Source organism: Homo sapiens, chromosome 1 (assembly GCF_000001405.40).
Source record: "Homo sapiens chromosome 1, GRCh38.p14 Primary Assembly".
NCBI lineage: Eukaryota > Metazoa > Chordata > Mammalia > Primates > Hominidae > Homo > Homo sapiens.
The window spans coordinates 111,226,016-111,243,440 of record NC_000001.11 but is presented as its reverse complement, the minus strand read 5'-3'; the positions used below and the strand labels follow the sequence as shown (position 1 = coordinate 111,243,440).

General features: G+C 44.3%; 1 protein-coding gene across 3 annotated transcripts, besides 1 other annotated feature; it reads right to left on the bottom strand.

Annotated features, from left to right (window-relative positions):
* Positions 1-15,782, bottom strand: CHI3L2 (chitinase 3 like 2). 3 transcript variants are annotated; one of them, NM_004000.3, is made up of 11 exons: positions 15,672-15,728; positions 13,560-13,589; positions 12,498-12,699; positions 12,147-12,203; positions 8,384-8,534; positions 7,678-7,802; positions 7,288-7,417; positions 4,509-4,691; positions 1,998-2,114; positions 1,075-1,214; positions 1-224 (listed from the first exon to the last, which is right to left on the bottom strand). In NM_004000.3, exons 1-10 carry the CDS (start codon positions 15,709-15,711, stop codon positions 1,077-1,079), a joined length of 1,173 nt encoding a protein of 390 aa, NP_003991.2. In that variant the 5' UTR covers positions 15,712-15,728; the 3' UTR covers positions 1-224; positions 1,075-1,076. The 3 variants fall into 3 exon arrangements, with proteins under 3 accessions (NP_003991.2, NP_001020368.1, NP_001020370.1); NM_001025197.1 differs by lacking the exon at positions 13,560-13,589 and having other exon boundaries at positions 15,672-15,782; NM_001025199.2 differs by lacking the exon at positions 15,672-15,728 and having other exon boundaries at positions 13,560-13,705.
* Positions 7,718-8,917: an enhancer, noted in NCBI's record as "CDK7 strongly-dependent group 2 enhancer chr1:111777146-111778345 (GRCh37/hg19 assembly coordinates)". NCBI's record gives its function as "activates an origin of replication core promoter dependent on BRD2, BRD4, P300/CBP, MED14 and CDK7 cofactors, with strong dependence on CDK7, by STARR-seq in HCT116 cells {active_cell/tissue: HCT116}" and the evidence as "EXISTENCE:reporter gene assay evidence [ECO:0000049][PMID:35650434]".
* Positions 15,783-17,425: the final 1,643 nt, after the last annotated feature.

Genomic DNA, 17,425 nt, shown 5'->3' with positions numbered 1-17,425 from the left:
TTACTGGAGCAAAATGAATTTTTTTTATTGTACTTCAGGGCAACAAGTCAACAGCTGCAGGAAAACAAAACCAGGTCCAATCTATGATCTAAGAGGAAGTCAGGAAAGGCTTGGAAGAGAGATCCAAAGGCCAGCCTGGCAAGGGGAATCCCACATGAGAATTCCTGGGAGAGAGCAGGCCCCAGGCAGCAAGGTCATCTTGCCTGCTTCTCTGTAAGTTAATCCTGGAAACAAAAGGAAAAATATTTCAAAGCCCAACTCAGTAAACTGAGGCCTAAGTCAAGTTACTAAACAATGGATGCTCAGAGTTGGAAGGCTGCTACCCAATTATCTAATCAGGAGTTTTCAAATGGTTCTAGGCCCTTTGCCAGGATAGCAGAGCCAGTCTTTTAGTTGTCTGTCTGCAGTGAGCCCCAGCGCCCTGCTTCTCCACCCTCTGCCCTAGAACCAATGTATCACAGCATAACTGTTTGGTCAGCAACAGCCTTCATCTGCACAGGAGGATATACAACGCACCTAGGGAACTGGGGGCCCAGGGATGGAGCAGCAGCAAAGCCACCGACCTTCAAGGTAATAGGGAGGCTTGGGTAAAGGCGTAGCAATAATGACCATGGGAGCTCCCAAATGTCTAGACTAAGTAAGATCAACTGTGGGTGGGGGAAAAGAGCCTCAGGTAATGAGTGAGATGGAAATTATCATCAGTCCAGTGAATTGAGGACATAGAGTCAGATTTATTGTGATTTAGAAAATTAAGACAGGCTGATGATTTTGTAACCAAGAATTGTGGTGGTGTCAATATTTATCCCTAATATATATGTAATGAAAGTCTTTAGCTCATACTATGCTCAATAAATGGTAGCCAAAATTTATCAATATTATTATTATTACTTTAAAAGTCTATGGGAAGCCTATGAAAAGGGCAGAACCAGCCTAATTGCTAAGAAAACATGGCAGAAGAGCCAAAGGAGCATGAGAAAGGATTAGTCCAAATATGTGAAGATGATCTCCCCCAGTCTCCTGTGCCCTGTTCTGCCCAGCTGTCTGCCCACTCCCAGCTCCAGCCTGGACTGTTACCTTCACAGGGAGCCAAGGCTTCTCTTGACTGCTTGGACAAGAGGGTAAGGGCCCTGGTTGCAGGATTTGCCAGTGAAGTCATCCATGTCAATAGACCAGATCATGGCTCCTCCCAGGTTTAAATTCTTTAAGAACTGAACCTATGGGAGACACAGAAGGATACACAGAGATTCGAAGGGTGGCCCCTAAATGCCCAGGACCATATCAGGTTCAGATGAGGGACTAAGCTTAAAATACAGCAGTAGACTAACTGGTTTTCTGGAGTTAGAGACTTCCTGAGGGGTAAGATTGCTCAGGGAGAGAGAGCCACCAAATCAGCATTAGCTACATCTCATTCTGACTTGAGTCACCACACTCAAGGTCCGGCATTCTTGGAGGCTGAGAAAACTCTCCATAATAAGGGAAGAAACTAGGAAGCCCTTAACAAGACAAGTGGCCAGGATTGTCAATTACACTCAAGCCTCCTTTTTGTTCTAACCATGAAAGGAACACAAATGTCTTACCAAGGTCTAAGAACTGGTAGGCTCAGGAATCTGGAGCCTCCTAGCTAGGTAATCCATGAGAAGGACTGAACAGTTTGTCCCGAGATAATTAACAAAGTAGATTATCTATACAGGCACCAACGTCTCCTTTATTCCCTCTCCCTTCTCCTTGCCTTACTCTTCTCTCCACTCCTCACTTATCAGAATAAACTTACTTGTTCTCAATTCTTTTTTGCGTCCTTTCCAACTCTTCTACCTGTACCACAGCTGCTCGCGGGTGTGACATAGAGTCACTACTAGACTTGAGCTATAAAGGCTGCTGGATCCCATCCTAGAGTCTGGGGCCTCAGAAGCTTCTCTCTTTGAACATAGAGTATTCAGGCATTTTACTACATATCACCATTCCCCACCTAAAGGAGTATCTGCCTGTGGCCCACCTACCTTGGTCTCCATACTCTTCACATCATCATAGCCCACCCACTGGTTCCCCTTGACTGCGTAGGGAACCTGCTGATCCTGGAGCCGCGTGATCTTGGCTCCTTTCAGGAACTGGCAGATCTGGCAGGGGAAAGGGAAACGAGAGGGTCAGTAATGGGTTATTCTTGAAACTTGGTTGGGGTAGACAGGGCAGGTGAGCCACTAGGGACTTGGGGAAAATATCAGAACCTTTATCCCAAGGATCAGACAATGAGAGAAATGACCACATATATCATATGAAGTGGGTGTTCCAAGGTGAACCTCTAGGAAGTGTCTGTGCTAAAGTCTCATCAGGAGGAGACACAGCAGCTAGAAATCAGAAAATACTTGAGTTCCAGATCAGACCCCAGCACCGACCAATAAATCTTCCAATTTCTTCATTTGCAAAATGGAAATAATTATAATAATGCTTTCAACATATCTACCTTACAGTGTTGTTGTTAGGATCAAATGAACTAATACACATTAAAAAATTTTTTTGAAAACAGTAAAGTGCTCTACTTCTAAAGTGAAGTATTATCATGACCATCACCACTATTCCTCATCTTGTAGCATCTCCACTTAAATCTTATTACTCCTCCTCTGTCCCGTCCCATATCCAATATGCCCTGTCCTGGGGCTCCCCTTCTATCATTAGCTATATTCTTTCTGTTAGCATAAGGAAGAGCTCTAAAAAAGATAAATCTTCAATTAAACAATGCATTTCAACATCACATAGAAAATCCATTTAGGATTACTCTTTTTGGATGAACTACATTCGTGCTTACTACAATGAGGGCAGAAAATGAAAGTTGAATATTTAAGCAAATATCAACCTGTCAAAGTTATAATGACCTAGAGTCATTATGAACTGAACAATCAAATCAAACTTTCCATGAGATGGGAAGTGCATATCTAGTGGTTGATATTATAACCCTACCAGGAGATTCTGAGCAATGACCTCTCTTCTCCCTTATATTAAGAGTGTTATTGCTATCAACCTAGAACTACCCAAGGATGGGTCAGCCTCTCTCCCACTTCCTATGTATCAGGCACCCTGAGATTCAATGAGGACTCTCACAATGACCCATGTCCCATTCTTGTTGCCAATTGAATTGATGATGTGCCAATCATTCCTATGTGTAAGATGAAGGGAAAAATTGAGCATTACACTGAATGGGTACCTTGGTGGGTGCCAAGTCATTCAGCATGGGCCGATGGCATGTTCACACTCACAATGAGAGGTCAGGCTGGGACTCCAAAGATAGACCAGGATATAGAATGATATTTTTTTTTCTCTACCTGATCAAATTTCTACTAATCCTTCAAGGCCCAGCATAAACTTCTCCTCTTCCATGGAGCCTTCCCCAGTCACCCATCTCTGATCTCATGTCACTCTACACCATTCATTGGTCATTGAATCCCATATTGTTTTACAATACCTCTCTGATTTTATTAAATGTTATAGTTATCTTGTTTTTGAACTCTTGTTTAACTAGCTATGTCTGTATTTCACATTCTTTCCACCTTGACAATAACCCCTTTAGAGACAAGGATGGATAATTACTTATTTCTAGCTTTCACAGTACCCAGTGTTTGGGATATGGGAGTGTCCAAAGAGTTTCTGTTGGTTGACCTATTGTTAGATTTATATCTTCCCCTATGCTTTTTAAATAAATTTTCCCAGATTGGAGGGCAGAGAGGAATGATGGTATAATTAGCAGAACAATTTTGTTATCCCTATGATCTATCTGACAACTGCACAGAATTTGACACATTTGACCACTCCCTCCTTTTTGAAACACCTACTTCTCTAAGGTCTTTGGCACAGATCTGGGTGGGTTCCTCCTATCCCTCTTGTAGTTCCTTGTCAGTTACCTTAATATGTTCCCCTTCCTCTGCATGTCCCTCAGGTGTAGGAGGTTTTTGGGTGTGTCTGGGGCCTCATTCACTTCTCACTGTATGGTTTGGCTTCAGGTACCAGCTTTATGCTGATAGTTTTGAATCTACCTCTCTAGTGCAGACTGGCCTGCTGTGATCCAAACCCATATATTCAATGACTCACCTGTTATCTGTATGTCCCACGGGCTCCTCACACTCAGAACGTCCAAAACTGATCTCATGAGCAGGACCAATGTCCACTCTGTTCTCCCTCCAGTCTTCCCTATCTCTGTAAATGGCATTGCCATCCACTTAGCTGCTCAAATCAAGAACTTGGGGTAGTCTTCCTTTTTCAATTTCTCGCACTCTCCTCTGCCTATCCCCATTCCTGGCTAGCTCCATCTCCTCTTCAGAGTCCAGCTTATTTCACTTCCTCCAGGAAGCATTCCCTGACCCTCTCCCAACCCAGAGTTAGGAGATCCCCTCACATGTTCAGTAGTACTCTGCCCTTTCCCCTTCGCAACACTCAGGATGCTTTACTCTGCTGTCAAATTGAAGATGGAACATCTACCCAGACATGGCAGGGAGCTGAGGGTACAGGGGGTTTCCAGGTACCTCATAATAGGCCAGGAAGCCTGAAGACTCTGTGATGGGTCCAGCAGCTCCAGGGCCAGAGGCAGGGGCCCCCACGGTGGTTTCTGCAGAGGCCAGTGTGAAGGAGTGCCCATATGTGGGGATGCCCATGACCACCTTCTCTGATGGCATTCCCTTATGTATCCAGTACCCCACAGCATATTCCTAGAATGGGAAGAGAGATGGAGGCTCAGAGTGTGGGGAAAGAAAGGTGTCAGACCTTTTTTAGCCTCTATCCCAAACTTCACAGAGGTGACTGCCTGGTTTCTTTTCTACATCCGAGTGTGAACAGACCAGACCCCCCGGACCAGAGTGCTTGTTGTAATGCACATATGCTCTTTAGCAGCAAGAGGCTTATGCAACTTTTTCTAATTTCTGAAAGGAACTAGACAGTGGATCACAAAAGAAATCAGTCAAGGAACCTAGAAAACATGAAATCAAGGTTGTCACCATCTTCCTTCCCCTTTTGAGTCAACTCAAAATCCCTGTGGAACTTGTCTACACAATGGCTCTTTGTGAATACTGACAAAGGTGGCTGTCAGATTCCTAGTCCATGAGGCCTCACAATGACCTTGCACCCAATGGGACATGTCAACGTAAAGAGTCAAACTCTGTAAAATATTTGAAGAGATTTATTCTGAGCCAAATATGAGTGACGAATGGCCCATGACACAGCTCTCAGGAGATCCTGAGGACATGTGCCCAAGGTGGTCAGGTTACAGCTTGATTTCATACATTTCAGGGAAACATAAGACATCAGTCAGTACATGTAAGATGTACATTGGTTCACTCCAGAAACGCAGGACAACTAGAAGCTGCAGCTTCCAGGTCATAAGTGAATTCAAAGATATTTTGATTGGCAATTGGTTGAAAGAGTTATTATGTAAAGGCCTGGAGTCAATAGAAAGGAATGTCTGGGTTATGATAAGTGGTGTAGAGACCAAGGTTTTATCATGCAGATAAAGCCTCCAGGTAGCAGGCTTCAGAAAGACTAGATTGTAAATGTTTCTCATCAGACTTAGAAATTCTCTTCTATCAGTCTTAAGGTCTCTGTATTGATGTTAATGCTGGTCAGCTGTGAGGCATGTCTGACACCCAACTTCCCATCATGACCTGAATTAACTTTTCAGATTAACTTTGAATGCCCTTGGCCAAGAGGAAGGATTTGTTCAGATGTCTGGGGGGCTTAGAATTTTATTTTTGGTTTATAGACAGATTGGGAGGTAAGAGGCTGATTTTGGCTTTCCTGCTCTCAGAACAAAATAAAGGGTTAGAGAAGACAAAGATATGTCTCCTTATCCTTAAAGATAACTGATAGAGAGGAAGGAGTGAAGGAGGCTGATGTGACTTAGCCACATGAAGGCCTAGAAAACCCCAACCAGAAATCATATCTAGCTCTGGACCGATCCATTTTGTGACTTTGAATATGAAGGCCTGGAAACATGCAACACAGATATTTTTTCTCCCAAAATTTTAGGAATATACATCCATATATATGAAACAGCCTTTGCAAAGATTGTAACTGAGAAAATTATGACAGTGAAAGAGATCTGACCTAACTGACTCCATCTTGCTTCTAACCTCCAAGCTGTCCTTGTTCATTCCTGGGTGTAAGCCAACTCAATTTGGGAGGAATTTAGTCTCTAGGTTAGCTTTGAAACAAAGATGATTAACAGCCCTTTTTAGAAACAAACTCTCTTCTTGCCTAGAGACCAGTCTGCTTTTGTAGAACTAACAAATTAGCCATGAGATTAGAAGTTATGGTTTAGGAGTCATGCGGCCAAAGGCTGCAAGATTCTAAGCCTCCCCAAATTGCAGCTGGGAATAGCATCACTGTTGCAAAACCTAAGATCAGTGCTTGAGATATTTTGCAGATCTTGCATTCTGATGCACCAGCTGACACTACCCAGACCCAGGAATCTGGCTCAACCAGTTCTGTGATCCCAAACAAGAGCAAAAGACAGCGAGAAAAACCCACTTTGAACCCTTATGATTTCATCTTCAACCTGACCAATCAGCACTCGCCACTTTCTGTCCCCCATCCACAAAATTATCCTTAAAAACCCTGATCCCTGAATTTCCAGGGAAACTGATTTGAGTAATAATAAAATTCCAGTCTCCCATACAGCTGATTCTGCATGACTTTAACTCTTTCTCTATTGCAATTCTCCTATCTTGATAAATCAATGGGCAAGGAGAACCCATTGGGTGGATAAGTTATGTTCCAGAACAACATCAACAACATTATTTTTTTTTTTTTACTTTTCATTTCCCATCACCAGGAAGTTCACAACACACGACCTTGAAGAGTCAATGGAATCTGCCAAGCTTCTGTTTCATCATCTGTGAAGTGGGAGTAACATTTCCTACCCAGCTGACCTCATGGGGTTTTTTTAAAGATAGAATTAAATAGGGAATATAGATGGACACAGGAAGGTACAAGTTCTGTTCTCCTGTGTAGATGCCAAGAAATGTATGAAAGATGGAGAATCCAGAGAAGACTGGGATGGGGGACACTCTGAGCCAGAGACAGAGCTTAGGGCACTTCAGCTATCAGCACTTCTGATATTTTCTAGGTGACATTTTGTTGGTGCCTGGTCAAAGCACTTCTCCTGCACTCACTTGCTCCTGGGGCTACCCAATTCCCTCTTGGGCTCATAGCTCTTCCTCAGTTCAAGACAGAAGTAACTCTAGACATGCTGGACTCTCCCCAGCCCCACCCCCACAGCCAGTACCCCTGCGGTTCCCCTGGCCTACTCACCACATTGTAGTAGGAGCTTGGCCCTCTGTCCTGCCACCCCTTGCTCAGAGGGCTGTTGTGGCCAGTGATAAGGGGCTTTTCCCAAGACCCATGGAAGTCAAAGGACAGGAGGTTGATGAAATCCAGATCTCTAAAGTGCCAAAAGCAATGGGAGAGATTTTGTGACGAGCAGTGGTAGAAACAATTGTAAGTAATTGTTTTGGCTTTGAATGATGCTGCTAGAAGGATTGAAAGTCTCTGTAAAGAAGTTGTTCCTGGCTGAATGATGCAGGGTTAGGACAATGACCTTCCCTCTCTTCCTCCTCCCCTCATCCGTCAAACATGCTGATGCATCATTTGCATGGACCAAATTGGAAGCAGAGGGATGGAAAGTTGCTCTGATGTACTCACTTTGCCAGTTTCTCAACTTGATAGCTGTTATCAATCATTTGCCTCCCTGCAGATACGCCCGCAGTCAAGAGAAGCCTTTCCTTGGTGGATTTTGTGAAGTCCTTCTGAAAGGCTTCTGCTAACTCCTAGGAAAAACAAAGAAACGAGGTGCAATATTCCCCTTCCCAGAGTACAGTGCTAAGCTTCTTGCCTGGAATCTATGAGGTTTCTAGAACCACATTAGATGGAAAGGATCAACCCTTTCCTCCCCACCCCACATGGGGATGCCTTGTGCCTGTATCTGCTCAGGAAGTCTCCACATTAGGCAGGAGAACCCCAGCCTCACTCTACCCAGGAATAACTATCTTGGTTTCTACCTGATAGATTTTCAGATCTATCTGATAGATCTTCTGTGAGGCCACCTCAGTACTCAGGAAATCCTATGGCTACACCCTCTTTCATATGGATGTTGCTTTATTTTGATGTTCTTCATCAAAAAGAAGGACATCAAAATAAATGTGCAAGGGGGCTCCACTGTTTCATGTTGTTACTGCCTTAAAATAGGAATCAGGGCTTTTCTCTCATTAGTGGGAGCTTCAGAAAGGCTGGGGCTGTTAGACTCAATCTCCTCCTTTTTGTCTCCCAATGTGGCCATGGATTCTGGATATCAGAGTACTGAGTACACCGTGGCATCTGACTCACATGAATTACTTGATTCATGACTTACATGAATCAGCACAGTGAAATGAGTGTTTTCTTTCTGATCTGGGTAGATCCAGCTTACATCCAGTCCATCAAAGTTATGGTTCCTCAGAAACAGGATTATGGAGTTAATGAATTCCAAGCGTGATGTAGAAGAATCCACCATAGGGTGGAACCTGGAAAGAAGCAATACGAGTGTCTTTTTGGAAAGAACAAGTAACACTTGTAGTGTAACACATTTTTCACAGAAATCCTGAGCAGTCTTCTCTTCCCCAATATTCACTTACAATTTGTCTATTCTAATGCTTTCCCCTTTTGGAACAGACGAGAGAAAAAGGATTGTTGGGCCGGAACATTGATCCAGCCAGGTAAAGGAAGACTAGATTCTCTGCAGACCTTCCTAAGGGTAACGGAGCTGCCTTTGGCTAAGACTCTTGCCTTGACCAAACTTAGGTAGGCTTCTCTGAGCCCTCTTCTCAACTGGACCTCAATCTTGGGCTTCTGTGTCTGTCTTTGCAGTGTCCGATTCCAGAAAAAGTCCTGCTAGGTCAGTTTAGCCAGAAACCCCCAGACCTGGTACCTGATTACTCACCCCCTGCCATCCCCCAGGTGGTATCTCATCGCTCTGGCATCCTTTGGCAGGAATCCTGTTGAATCAGTTTAGCAAGAATCCATCCCTCTAGCCCCAGTGTTTCCTCTTTATGATTTTCCATCCACTGATTGCCCCTAGCGTGCTCTTTGGCTATATTTCCTCACTTGCCTTTGCTGCCTTTGGAATAGAACCCAGTACCATACTGAGGTCTTTTTCCCCGTTTCAATATTTCCTGAATAAAATCTGTTTTACTGCTTTAAATACTGTCCAGCTTTGGTTTTCTTTCTTTTTTTTTTTTTTTTATTGATCATTCTTGGGTGTTTCTCGCAGAGGGGGATTTGGCAGGGTCATAGGACAATAGTGGAGGGAAGGTCAGCAGATAAACAAGTGAACAAAGGTCTCTGGTTTTCCTAGGCAGAGGACCCTGCGGCCTTCCGCAGTGTTTGTGTCCCTGGGTACTTGAGATTAGGGAGTGGTGATGACTCTTAACGAGCATGCTGCCTTCAAGCATCTGTTTAACAAAGCACATCTTGCACCGCCCTTAATCCATTTAACCCTGAGTGGACACAGCACATGTTTCAGAGAGCACAGGGTTGGGGGCAAGGTCACCGATCAACAGGATCCCAAGGCAGAAGAATTTTTCTTAGTACAGAACAAAATGAAAAGTCTCCCATGTCTACTTCTTTCTACACAGACACGGCAACCATCCGATTTCTCAATCTTTTCCCCACCTTTCCCCCCTTTCTATTCCACAAAACCGCCATTGTCATCATGGCCCGTTCTCAATGAGCTATTGGGTACACCTCCCAGACGGGGTGGTGGCCGGGCAGAGGGGCTCCTCACTTCCCAGTAGGGGCGGCCGGGCAGAGGCGCCCCTCACCTCCCGGACGGGGCGGCTGGCCGGGCGGGGTGCTGACCCCCCCCACCTCCCTCCTGGATGCCAGCTTTGGTTTTCTTTAACACTTTACACCCTTGGAAAAGCAGTTTGCAATGTGGTGGGCTTAGGGTCAGGAGAACTAGATTCAAGTCCAAGGTTAGAGTCCTTTCTGATTGATGGCCACTTTGTCATTAACCTGCTCTCTGGGTTCCAGTCTGGCCACCTCTAAATTGGGACTGAGGGTACTAATCCTGCTTCATGTGCCTCAAGGGGATAACATTTAGGGAAGTTCCAGGAAAAAGAACTGGACTCCAGTGACTTCATGGTCCCCAAACAAGCATCCCGGCCACAAATAGGCAACGCAGATCTCCCCACCCCCGGGATTTCTGATGAAAACAGGACTTGAAATCAGCAGCTCCTCAAGGGCTTCATCTGAACTAGAATTCTGAAGCCATGAAGTTGATTCTCAGATGCCCACACCAAGGGCACCAATAGCATTTTAAACCCAAAGCTGTAGATGAGATACTGGTATTTTCCTGAGGACATAACCTTTAAGTTGTGTCACTTTTCACCTCTTACAATACCTCCCACACCCAGGCTTTCTTAGAGCCTTGAATTAATTTTGTTTTACTCAATATTAAATTGAGATTTTGATTCCTGCATGTATCTCATCTTTGAAGTTGAAGAGATAGCAAGAAACTGGCCTGATATCAGAAAACTACGGTGGAAATAGTTTTCTAGCTTTTCTCTTGCATTTGAAAGTGCTTACAATGATTAGAAAGCCATTGCACCTGAGCCTCTGGGCAGATGCCTCCAATTTTAGGAGAGCTGCCCATTCAATAGAAATTTACTAATTTGTTCCTTAGAAGCAAGTTTGTATATTACACATATATAATTATTCTGCACAGCACCTGGCACAAAGCCTGGCATTTACCTAATAATAACAACAATAATCATATAACAATGATTACTGCAACCATTGAGCCCTTATTGCACAGGGGCACTATGCTAAACAGTTTGCTTGCGTTGCCTGCCTTTACAACACCACCCTGAGGTAAATTCTGTTATTATTCTTATTGTATAGTTAAAGAAAACTGCGGCATACAGACATAAAGAACTTGACAAAAGTCACATAGCTTGCATGCATCTAAAGGGAAATCCAAACCAAACACGTCTATCTCCAAAGTTCTACTTTCAACCACTAAACTGGTAAACAATTACTTACTGAATGAATTTACTGAATGAATGAATGAATGAATGAATGCAAGAATGAATGAATAAATGAAGACATTTTTATTTGCATCAACACCTAAGCAAGTATTAGGAAGGGGAGAAAATTTGATAATTAGAAGGATGGGTGCCATGGAAGCCCATTCATATTGAAGGGTGTTCACGGAGGAGTTAACACAGAACCAAAAAAGTTAGGTAGCCTGATCTTTCTTCCTTCTTTCTGTGTGCAGAAATCTACATAGGTCTTCTAACACTACTTCTTCTCTCTGCCTACTCTGGCTGTAACTGACTTCTGACAGGTTGCACAAGTTGTACTATCAGATTTCTATAAAAACTCCAAGACTCTCTCAGCCAAATTTAAGATCTCTGGACTTTTTAAGATGTTAGCACTTTAAATAATAAAGCAGAAGAAATTCAAAATTAGATAAACTGTAGCTGAAGATTGAAAAAATGTGATATTTATCCTTATGTATTTTCATTTAGCTCTTGATGTAAATGGGATATCATTTCCATGGGAATAGAAAATATTATTTCGAATGTGTGCTTTGTATCAATAGCTATTTTGATTTTAAGCAAAGCAGGACTGATTGTTTCCTCTGCTGCTCTGATGGTGCTGAGGCCATCTGGCTGCACAGCCATGATCCCAGACATTGTACTCCACTGACTGCTATGGGCCATGGTGGGGCTTCTGAATGGAAGCAACCCATCCAACCCACCCCGGGGCACAAAGTCAAACCCTCAAGTGATTTTTAAAAAAATTGCACTTTCCAATTAAAACTAATTCTATAATCCATAAAGTGAAAAACATTCATGTAAATAATTCAGAATTTTCTGAATATTGTTCATGGCCCACTTTCTCTCAAGCCTTGAGTGTCTGGGCTTGTATTAAGCTCCAGAAGAATTCCTTCAAAGACCCCAGGAAACCTAATGCTGTTCCTCTGCTTATGACAAATCTCAGATCAGTTTTGCCACCTGGCCAAGGGAAAACCTCTTAAAGCCTAGTTTAATATCTCTTCTTAGAAGGAGGAAAAATGATGATGATCAAAAATTACATGGGGAAATGAACAAAAAATAAAGATGTAGTCTTACCCTTTGGAACCAAACAGGTACCCTCCAATGGACAAGAGAATTTTCAGTTTGGGATTCCTGAAGTAGAAGAATAAGATGATTATTTATTTTCTGGCTGCCAGGGAAGCCTTTGTCTAAAGAACAGAGTTCTTAAGTGTAGAGAAAATGGACAATTAGGGCCTGGCTGTTTGAACTAAAGTGAAGTTCAGTGAAGGGATGAAGCACTGGTGAGAACAGTTAGGATCAGAAATACACCCAGAGAAATATATAGGAATGAATGAATGAATGAGATAGTATGTCTTAGTGTCAGCTTAAGACCAGCTTCCCTCCTCTAAAATCCATGCAGGATGCTTCCACCCCCATCTTACTCACTTGGTTTTGAGACTGTTGATGGTCTGGTAGAGCATCACTTCACTCTTGTCCTTGATGATAACCTTGTTGTTTTCGATGCTGGCGAATGAATAGATGAGATGAGAGCATAGGAAGGGGTCAATATTCTCAGGGGTGAATTTTCCTGGTTCCTGCCGGTCCTGGGACCAGTTGGTAAAGTAGCAAACCAGTTTGTAGGCAGATCCTGGAGTAGAGTGAAGAGAGCCAGTGAGACTCTAGGGCTGTTGCCTTAGAGTCCAGAAAGTCACAATTTTCTCCCCAAGACAGCCATTGCATCATTTGCTCATTCTGCCAGAGCCTCTGAGGGTCATTCAGCCTGGGCCTTTAGTGCTGGCTCTTGAGTACCCAGACCCCAGTTAAGAAATACGCTGAGACTGGGCACAGTGGCTCACACCTGTTATCCCAGCACTTTGGGAGGCTGAGGCAGGAGGACTTCTTGAGCCCAGGAGTTCAAGACCAGCTCTGGCAACATAGCAAAACCCCATCTCTACAAAAAATTTAAAAATTAGCCAGGTGTAGTGGTTCATGCCTGTAGTCTCAGCTACTAAGGAGGCTGAAGTTGGAGGATTGTTTGAGCCTGGGAGGTCAAGGCTGCAGTGAGCCATGGTCACACCACTGCACTACAGCCTGGACCTTACAGTGAGACCCTGTCTCAAAAAAATTTAAAAAAAAATACATTGAGAGACAGAGATACCACCAACATATGAAACACCCATGGAGCACTAAGATTCAGTATGTATGTATGGATGGATGACACAGATCAGTAGAGAAACAGATAATACAAACATTGTGTATGTTTGTATTCACACACACATATTGAGGCCAGCTATGGGGGAGGGGTGAGAGAGAGAGTGGCTCAAAAAGAACTAGAACAAGGGATACACAAAAAGATAGAATAAAAACTCAGTGTCATAAATATGTCAGTGGCAGAACCGGAGAGAGTAATCAAGAGAAAAAGCATGTAGCAGAAAAAGAAACTGTACATCAAAAATGAAAGCACCCAAGCCAGGAGATCCAGGCGGTAGTGACTTATTGACTACTTACCTCCCTGGAGAAGCAGCAAGACCACTACACCTGCAATAGATGGGTGGAAAGAGAAATCTGTTGAGCCAAACCTGGTTCTGCTGTCCCAGATAATGGCAGTGAAAATGTGGGTGTGCTCACATACAAGATAGAGCCACACTTCATCTGGGCTCCCCAGCCACAGCTGCTGTGGTTTCTTTTTTTTTTTTTTTTTTTTTTTTGAGACGGAGTCTCGCTCTGTCGCCCAGGCTGGAGTGCAGTGGTGTGATCTCGGCTCACTGCAAGCTCCGCCTCCCGGGTTCACGCCATTCTCCTGCCTCAGCCTCCCAAGTAGCTGGGACTACAGGCGCCCGCCACTACGCCCGGCTAATTTTTTGTATTTTTAGTAGAGACGGGGTTTCACCGTTTTAGCCGGGATGGTCTCGATCTCCTGACCTCGTGATCCGCCCGCCTCGGCCTCCCAAAGTGCTGGGATTACAGGCGTGAGCCACCGCGCCCGGCCTGTGGTTTCTTTATAGGACCTTGAGGTCCCCAGCCCTGGGGTGCCTTGTGTCTCTACATTCCTAGGCAGAAACATGTTCCAAGCTGGGAATTTATTTTTTCATTCATTTATCCAACAAAGTTTTATTGAATCATATGCTCTGTGCTAAGCATTGCTCAGGACACTGGGGAAATTATAATGCAGTTAATGCCTTCCCTGCACTCAAGGAGCTCATAGTCCAGTCTGGAGTTGAATATAGGTAGGGTGACCATATAGTTTATTGTCCAATGAGACCCTTCAAAGAGTAAAAAGGAACATTATTAATAATTTCCCTAGGACGATAGCTTGAACCAGAACTATCTCAGGCAAATTGAGATGGTCCCACTATGTATAAACAATTAACTCTTAGAACAAGATAAGCAGTGTGAGCTGGCCCTGGTAGTGCTTTAAACTTATATGTTTGAAATTATGCCCAGTCTCTTCTCCATAGGACATCTACCCTAGGAAGACTGGTGAGATTATTCTATACTTAACACATCCTCCTAAAGGAAAAAAAGAGCAGACCCCTGGATCCTAGAAACTTTGCCCAATGGACAAGACTCCTGGAACTGCAATCCCCCCAGCCTGGGGATATTGTTCACTCTGAAACCTTTACGGGTCCAAAAGTGAAGAAAGGGGCAGCCAAAAAGGAGAGAAAACTTTCAATGACACAGCTGCTGGAGCTGATTCCTCCCCTGCAGAGCTTAGGGCTGGAAAACAGGGCTCTACTGTTCTCTCTTGATGACTCACATGTTTTTTTAGGCAGGGAGGTTAGGCCCTGGTTCTCCACACACTCACTAAGTAAATGGTCAGAGAAATTCTCTGTGGCACATCCACTGTCAGGTCAGCCTCCAGGCCCTTCTCCAAAGTGTGGCCTCCCTACGGGCTCTACCCTGTCAAGGGTCAGTCCAGGGCTCAGCTAAGTTCAACAGGGAACCCAAAAGGCTCTTGCCAAGTGGGGGCTTCATGGCTTGAGAGGGTAAGACAAGGTGAAAGAGGTATGGACACAAATAAATGATTTCTTTCCTCCAGCAGACATATTCCCTCCCCTCCCCTCCTGGTAAACGTCCCCCGTTCACTCATAGCCTTGTTTATTTAGCCTCATCCCCACTCTCATCCCAATTCCCAGCCACCACAAAAGCCAGAGTTTTGGATCAGAACTTTAGAGTTGAAAGGGAGAGTTTAAAAAACATTAAATTCAATAAACCATTCTGCAGATGAGAAATGTGGGGCTCTCCAAAAGTTGTAAAATATAACCACAGCAGAGCCCAAGAAAGATGTGACTCGCAATACAACGCTCATACACCAAGAGACTAAGAAAGCTTGGCCTCTTTCCTGTCTTAGCTCCAGTTCTAATGTGGACAAGAAGGACCTCTGCACAAACTGAGAACATCCTGCCAGTGCAAAGGGTTCTGGCTACTGCTGCATTTTTGTCCATTCAGGAAAGATCAGGTGGTTCCCCTACAACAGTTGCATTGGCTTGAAATTTTTTGACACTAAGGTCAACGGAAAGACTGAAGTCCCAGGAAAGGAGGAAGATTACTTCTTCTACAGACCTGTTACCTCTTCCTTCCTCACCAAATTTCCTGCTGAATTATCAACCCCATGCTCACCTGCCCAGAGAGACTTCTGGTCCATGGTGGTTGCTCCCATATCCTTGGCCAGCTTCTTCTGGGATACACATTCTCTAGGTCTTTTATCCACTGAGGTTTCGACAGCCTGTCCTACACGAAAGAAGCAAGAAGTCCAGGGACTTCCCCTGGCAGACTTGTGAAACTTCTTGGAAATGAAGCCCAGATTTGAGCAATGCCAACTCTGACCTGTCAGAAATTAGTTGCTGTGAAGTCAGCTGCTGAAGAGCCCTTTTCATCTAGTCTCACCTAAAAGGGACCCGGTCCTGGAGAAGGGAAGGAGGTGATACTCAGGCTCTGCCTCCTGGTATCACCCTCGGCCCTGAATCTCCTTCCTCATCATCCCAATCTGTCTCCTTCTTCTTGCCCCCACCTCTCTCTGTGTTCACACCACCTCTGGCTTGCTTAATTTTTTTAGAAACAGGATCTTGCTCTTGCTGTATCACCCCAGTTGGAGTGCAGTGGCACCATCATGGCTCACTGCAGCCTCAACCTCCCGGGCTCAAAGGATCTTCCCAGCTTGGCCTCCAGAGTAGCTGGAACCACAGGCATGCACCTTACACCTTGCTAATTAAAAAAAAAAAAAAAAATTTGTAGAGACAGGGTCTCACTACATTACCCAGGCTGGTCTTGAATTCCTGGGCTCAAGCGCCCCTCCTGCCTTGGCCTCCCAAAGTGCTGAGATTACAAGTGTGAGCCACCACACCCGACAACAGCTATTGTTTACCAGGCACCTACAATGACACCTTCTCTGTAGCTCTTCCCACTGTCCCCCAAGCAGAGACGAGCTGGCACCTCTGCCTACAGTGCATTCTATTTCCTTTCATTCCTTCACAGTGTATTGTGATGTATTGGTGTCTGTGTCTCCACTGTGCAAGTACAAGAAGTATGCGAAGGAAAAATTGGCCAGGAGTAGTGGCACATGTTGATAATCCCAGCTGCTTGGGAGGCTGAGGTGGGAGGATCACCTGAGTGAGCCCCAGGGGTTGGGGCTATGGTGAGCTGCGATCACACCAGTGCAGTCCATCCTGGGCAAAGCAAGACTCTATCTCAAAAAAATAAAAAATAAAAATAAAGAATTATGTGAAACACAAAAAGAAAAACCTCAACAAATGTTTGTTCAGGATCCTGCCTTAACCTGTGAGAATGGACTTGCACTCCAGACTCAAAGGCTCAGATCCTCAGGGCCTTGCACATCTCCCTACCTATCTCCCAGTGCCTTTTTCATAACTGACTCCTCGGTGTCACCCAAAATGTACATGTTGAAGCCCTAAGTCCCAGTGTGATGGTCTATGGAGAAGGGGCATTGCGGGTAATTAGATCATGAGGGTAGAGTCCTCATGAATGGGATTAGTGCCCTTACAAGAATAGACACAGAAGAGATGATCTCTGTTTACCATGGGAATATGCAGCAAGTAGGTGGCTTTCAGCAGATCAGGAAGAGGGCCATCACCAGACACCTCATCTGTGTGCAGCTTGATTTTAAACTTCCCAGCCTCCCAACTGTGAGAAATAGACGTTTGTTGTTATGCCACCGAGTCTGTGGTATTTTGTTACAGCTGCCTGAACCTACCTACTCAGTTCTCAAGGGCTCCAGAAGCCTGCAGAACCTTCAGTGTGAAAATACCTCAGCTGAGCTTACTGAAAGGGTGCCAATTTTGTTCTTGTTTCTTTGTTGATAACAAAACACAGTATGGGTTCATACTAAACTTCTTATGCATACCAATGTATTCATT

Excerpts from the sequence above, each read along its gene's own strand:
- CHI3L2 (NM_004000.3), bottom strand. The coding sequence starts at position 15,711 with ATGGGAGCAACCACCATGGACCAGAAGTCTCTCTGGGCAG. Across the intron at positions 12,204-12,497 it reads ATCAACAGTCTCAAAACCAA|GAATCCCAAACTGAAAATTC; the intron begins GTGAGTAAGATG and ends CTTCTACTTCAG. Across the intron at positions 2,115-4,508 it reads GCTTCCTGGCCTATTATGAG|ATCTGCCAGTTCCTGAAAGG; the intron begins GTACCTGGAAAC and ends TTCCCCTGCCAG.